The sequence below is a fragment of the Homo sapiens genome, chromosome 1, assembly GCF_000001405.40.
Source record: "Homo sapiens chromosome 1, GRCh38.p14 Primary Assembly".
In the NCBI taxonomy this organism is placed as follows: domain Eukaryota; kingdom Metazoa; phylum Chordata; class Mammalia; order Primates; family Hominidae; genus Homo; species Homo sapiens.
Window position 1 is genome coordinate 22,389,724 of NC_000001.11, and position 6,231 is coordinate 22,395,954.

Genomic DNA, 6,231 nt, shown 5'->3' on the forward strand with positions numbered 1-6,231 from the left:
CTGTCCCAAACCAAAGGGAGCCCTGGGGAGACTGGAGCTGGGATCTGCATTGCTAATAACTTCTCCAGAAGAGTCTTTTTTTTTTTTTTTTGAGACGGAGTCTTGCTCAGTCACCCAGGCTGGAGTGCAGTGGAGCGTTCTTGGCTCACTGCAAGCTCCGCCTCCCGGGTTCACGCCGTTCTCCTGCCTCAGCCTCCCGAGTAGCTGGGACTACAGGCACCCGCCACCACACCCAGCTAATTTTTTTTTTTTATTTTTAGTAGAGACGGGGTTTCACCATGTCAGCCAGGATGGTCTCAATTTCCTGACCTCGTGATCCACCCACCTCAGCCTCCCAAAGTGCTGGGATTACAGGCGTGAGCCACCGCGCCAGGCCCAGAAGAGTCTTATGTGCTGCCTAAGCCACTCGCAAAGTCCACTTTCATATCTTTGTCCCTAGGACCCAGGCACAGTGGAAGCTGGCAGAGGTGAGACCTCCCCACATTCACTTGGCTCAGCCCAGAGGTGGGGCAGAGGCTGCAGGTCTCCTCTGCTGGATGGGCCTCCTGTCCTAACGAGCCATCCACCTGTGCCCAGGTACACCAGACACATGGCCCAGCCTCTTACATAATCCTAGCCCCTGCTCTGTGAGGCGGAACTGTTACTTTCCCCCTCTTTCTGATGAGGAAACAAGGCCCAGAGAAGTGAAGTCAGCAGCCCAGGATAGGTCAGCAGGAGCCGGGGCCAGGCTGCAAAACTGCTTCTTCTGAATCTGTAGCCTAAGCACAGAACCACAGTGCCCAGCTACCACCTGCAGGGGGTGGAGTCCTGCCTCCACCTTCCGGCCACCCATCCTTTGCCCTGGGTCTGGACCCTGGCATTGGTGGTGGCCATCGGCGCCGACCCATGGCTTGTCATTGTATCCAACACTGAAAACCTACTACCAGCCCTGCTTGGATCAGAGCCTTTAAGTGTAGCCCTTAACAGAAGTCAGTTAATCCCCCTTCCTGCCCCAACACACACACACGTGCATACACACAGGGTTGGCTCTGCCCTCCCTAGGGGTCTCTCCAGCCTCCACCTCCCTCCCCTAACCCCATCCATGCTCTCCGGAAGTTCCCAGCAATCCAGTTGGGACACAGTGAAATAAGCCCCAACCTCTCCGAGGTAGAAAAGGTGGTGCTTGGGCATGAAAATCCCCCTTAGCAGTTATAGAATTTAAAGCTAAGCATCGCCTTTCTTGAAATAGCAAGCATGTAGCTTTTCCCCGTGCATCTGGTGATGGTGTCAGAAACATTAGGGACAGCTTCTATTTGGCCACAGTCGAGCCAACCCTAGACAGTGGTGACCAGGGAGGCCCTGAGAGGCCATTGCAGCCAACGCCTTCATTAACAGATGTTGAGGCTAATGTCCAGTGATGGTCAGGGATTTACCCCAAGTCATATGATGGCATCTAGCTAGGGTTGGAAGCCCACTCCCTCTAGTCCCAGTCCAGCACTCCAGAAGCAGCAAACAGTCTTTGGGACCTCCAGCACAGAGCCCCCTTCCTCAGAACTGCTCCCCCTGCCCAGTGGACAGCTCCAGATGCTGCTCTTCCTGTCCTATCTGTGGCTGTTCACGTTCATGGCTGCTGCCCCCACACCACTCTCTTGCCAGCCCTGTAACCAAACTAAACATTTCTCCATACTTCATTTCATCACCAAATAATAAAAGCAGGCTTATTCCCCCACAATGGAAGTGTTAATTTATTCTCTATCTTGCAGGCCAGCTCAGCCAACATGACCAGGCCAAGCTGAACATGGGAGGCCAGGTGGGCAGCAGCTTTCCAGAGAGCCCAGGGACCAAGGTGTCTTAGCTCTCGGCAGGAGTGCTGGTCTCCATCTCAGCCAACAGCGCAGGAGAGAAGCAGCTCAAACTCCTTCCCTGGTTGGACCAGGGCCAGTAGGCCCTTGTCCTGACAGTCCTCTGGCTGGAAGGCATAGCTTCTCCACGAGGCTGGGATGGGAGGCCCGTCCCAAAGCACCAAATAAAGAGTAATAATAAGCTCACGGTCGGGGGAAAAACCTCTCTAGCAGCCTGGCGCTGCTGGCTGAGCTGCTTCCAGCCCTAGTGGCCCAGATCCCAGGGCTGGCGCTCACCTAATGAGCTGGGCATTGCAAAGCTGGGCTCCCCCACCACCTGTGTTGAGATGAATCATCCATTGCGGGTATCTCCATCTTCTGCATCTCTCCTCACACCCACATTGACCCCAGAATCTGGATTGTCATTACCTGTGGCCTTCTACACCAGTGAGGAGCAGGATAACACACTGGTTAAGAGCTAGACTTGGGGCCGGGCGCGGTGGCTCACGCTTGTAACCCAGCACTTTGGGAGGCCGAGGCGGGCGGATCACGAGGTCAGGAGATCAAGACCACGGTGAAACCCCATCTCTACTAAAAATACAAAAAATTAGCCGGGCGTGGTGGCGGGCACCTGTAGTCCCAGCTACTCGGGAGGCTGAGGCAGGGGAATCACTTGAACCTGGGAGGCGCAGGTTGCAGTGAGCCGAGATCGTGCCGCTGCACTCCGCCTGGGCCATAGAGCGAGACTCTGTCGCAAAAAAAAAGGAGCTAGACTTGGAGTCGGCTCCATCCTTTCCTGGCTGTGTGACCTGGGGCAAGTTACTTAACCTCTCTAAGCCTCTCTTTCCTCGGTCAGTAAGATGGGGTAAGAATCATGCCTTCCTCTTTCAAAGAGTGGCTGTAAAGATGAATGAGCTAATAATTTAAAATGCTTAACCCAATGCTGGGCACAGAGTCCAGACAAACAGTGGTGATTAACAACCAATAATACTTGTAGCAGGTGCGTAAGAAAAGTTGTGGAGAGGTGAGTACGGTGGCTCAGCCTGTCTGTAATCCCAGCAACTCTGGAGGCTTAGGTGGGAGGATCACTTGAACCCAGGAGTTGCAGGCTACAGTGATCGTTCCTCTGCACTCCAGCCTGGGCACAGGGCAAGACTCTAACTTTTTTTTTTTTGAGATGGAATCTCGCTCTGTCACTTAGGCTGGAGTGCAGTGGCCAGATCTCGGCTCACTGCAACCTCCGCCTCTTGGGTTCAAGCGATTCTTCTGCCTCAGCCTCCAGAGTAGCTGGGATTATAGGCACCCGCCACCATGCCTGGCTAATTTTTTTTTTTTTTGTATTTTTAGTAGAGACAGGGTTTCACCATGTTGGCCAGGCTGGTCTCGAACTCCTGACCTCGTGATCCGCCCGCCTCAGCCTCCCAAAGTGGAGACTCTGACTTAAAAAAAAAATCGTGGAATGTGGAAGAAGGAGCAATGCCCAGGGCCCAGAGAAGCCAGGCAGGCATCCTTAGAGGCTGTGGGGACAGTCAAACAGGGGCCTGGGCCTGCACAGAGCTGTGGGATGTTCTGGGCGTGCAATGAACCCAAGGCAAGGAGGCAAGAGCTGGAGGGACAAGGGCTCTGCAGCCAGGAGCAAGCTGACGGCTGGGAGCCAGGAAGGTGGGTTGAGCATCAGACTGAGGACCAGGCAAACAGGGTGGGGGTCAGGAGTCCAGCAGGCCAAGGACACAGAACTCAGCAGAATGATGGATTCTAATCCCCGAGTGGGGGCGCTTGCCTTCCATTCTGTTTTAGTGCTTCCTTCTCCAGGAGGGGGTAGGCTAAGGACGTGGATAATTGCAGTGGTCACTGGGGTTACTTCCCCTTCCCCACTACAACGGTCCAGTCCCAGGAAGTGGGACTGATCCCACTCCTATCTCCAGGATAACCAATCAGGGTAATCGGGATTCCCCTACCATCCACAGCAATTGTCCATCAGAGATGGTCTTCTCAGAGCATAGCTCAGAATACCTGTTTCATGGGTATGGGAAGAGTGGTTTCTTTCTCCCAAAAGGGGAAAAAGGAATTGTATCACCCTGGTTTCTGCTGGCAGCATTCCTGTGATTATCAAATAAGCCATTTTAAGGAGTAAGCATGGAAGGCAGAGCATAGAGAAACAGAGAAACAAAGGTCAAGTCCTGATAAAACTATGCCTAAAGCCCACACAGAGTACCTTCAGTCCTTTACTACACAAGGCAATAAATCTCAGAGCTATTAATAGTTTGAGTTGGTGCAGCAGGCGGAATAATGCCACCCCCAAAGATGTCCGTGCACTATCTCTAGAAACTGTGGATACAGGCCAGGCATGGTGGCTCACGTTGGGATTACCCCAACGCTTTGGGAGGCCGAGGTAGGTGAATCACCTGAGGTCAGGAGTTCGAGACCAGCCTGACCAATATAGTGAAATCTCATCTCTACTAAAATTACAAAATTAGCCAGGCATGGTGGCGCATGCCTGTAATCCCGGCTACTTGGGAGGCTGAGGCAGGAGAATCACTTGAACCTGGAAGACAGAGGTTGCGGTGAGCCGAGATCACACCATTGCATTCCAGCCTGGGCAACAAGAGTGAAACCCCATAAAAGAAAAGGAAGGAAGGGAGGGAGGGAGGGAGAAAGAGAGTGAGAAAGAGAACAAGAAAGGGGAAGGAAGGAAGGGAGGAAAGAAAGAAAAAGAAAGAAAGAAAGAAAGAAAGAAAGAAAGAAAGAAAGAAAGAAAGAAAGAGAAAGAAAGAAAGAAAAAGGGAGGAAGGGAAGGGAGAGAAAGGAAGGGAAGGGAGGGGAGGGGAGGGAAGGGGAAGGGAGGAGCAGAACTGTGAATACATGCATTTACATGGCAATAGGGACTTTTCAGATGTGATTAAGGACCTTGATATGGGTAGAGTACCCTGGATTATCCAGATGGACCCAATCTAATCATATGAGTTCTTATAATTGGAGAGCCATTTCAAGGAGTGGTCAAAGGGAGATGGGACTAAGGAAGGCCAGTCAGAGAGATGCAGTAGCGCTGGCTTTGTTGACAGAAGATGGGGACCGTGAGCCAAGGCCTTCTAGGATCTGGGAAGGACAAATAAACGAATTCTCTCACAGAGCCTCCAGAAAGGGATGCAGCCTGCTGATGCCTTGTTTTAGCCCAGTGAGATCCACATGAAGCTTCTAACCTACAGGATTGTAAGATACATTTATGCTACTTTAAGCCGCTAGGTTTGTGGTAATCTACTACAACAGCAATTGAAAACTAAAACAGTTAGGTTTTCAGTTACTTGTAACCAAAAGCATCCTGTTTACATCATAACTCCACTTATTAACATAGCTAACAGTCTTTTTCAAATGTATTATTATTATTATTTTGGAGACAAGGTCTTGCTCTATTGCCCAGGCTGGAGTACAGCTGAAGTGTGATCATAGCTCACTGCAGCCTCAAACTTCAGGGCTCAGGCAATCCTCCTGCCTCAGCCTCCTGAGTAGCTGGGATTGCAGGCACAAACCACCATACTTGGCTGTAGCTAACAGTTATTAAGCAGGTCTTCTCTTTCAGTATGTTGCTAAATGCATTATGCATTCTATCTAATTTAATCACCACAATAATTCTATATTGTTGAAACTATTAGTCCCATTCTAAATATAAGAAAAACTGAGTCTCAGAGAGGTGAAATCACATAACTAGTGAGTGAGGAGCCTGGATTTGAATTGAAGTTTGCTTGACCCCAAAGCCTGTCCACTTTTCTCTACATCCTGCCGCTAGCTCTCAGTTCACCCCTCTGTGGTGAAGGCTGGCTCTTCTGTATCCCAGGAAAGGAAAGTGGTTCTAGCTGCCCAAAGGACAGTAGAGAAATGCCAGTGTTTCCAAATCTGCATGTCAATGCTCACCTTAACTTTGAGGCTTGCCCTCACCCACACGCTCCTCTTCTCTACTCCACCGACAGTGCTGTCATTTAAAAATCACCTTCCTTATAGAAGAAATGTCATTATGTTCACAAAATCTAAAACACCCAAAGAGAAGATAAAGAATTCCACCCTTTCAGATATGTGACCTACATCAGTGTTTCTTAAACTTTTGTCTGTGTGGGGTGTGTGCGGGGGGTGTGTGTATGTGTATGTGTGTTTTATTAGAGACAGAGTCTAGCTCTGTCACTGGGGCTGAAGTGCAGTGGCATGATCATAGCTCACAGCAGCCTCAAACTCCTGGCCTCAAGTGATCCTCCCTCCTCAGCCTCCCAAAGTGTTGGGATTACAGGCGTGAGCCATCGTGCCCGGCCATTTCTTACACTTTAATAAGCACACGAATCACCTGGCAGGCCTGAGCATCTAACCAGTTCCCAGCTGATGCTAATGCTGTGTTTTCTCCATCCACACTTTGAGTAGGGAGAGT

The 6,231-nt window shown here is 50.7% G+C and overlaps 2 annotated features.

Annotated features, from left to right (window-relative positions):
- Window positions 318-818: an enhancer, noted in NCBI's record as "H3K4me1 hESC enhancer chr1:22716534-22717034 (GRCh37/hg19 assembly coordinates)". NCBI's record gives its function as "activates a minimal SCP1, AML or CMV promoter by ChIP-STARR-seq in primed H9 embryonic stem cells {active_cell/tissue: H9 hESC(primed)}" and the evidence as "EXISTENCE:reporter gene assay evidence [ECO:0000049][PMID:30033119]".
- Window positions 819-1,319: an enhancer, noted in NCBI's record as "H3K4me1 hESC enhancer chr1:22717035-22717535 (GRCh37/hg19 assembly coordinates)". NCBI's record gives its function as "activates a minimal SCP1, AML or CMV promoter by ChIP-STARR-seq in primed H9 embryonic stem cells {active_cell/tissue: H9 hESC(primed)}" and the evidence as "EXISTENCE:reporter gene assay evidence [ECO:0000049][PMID:30033119]".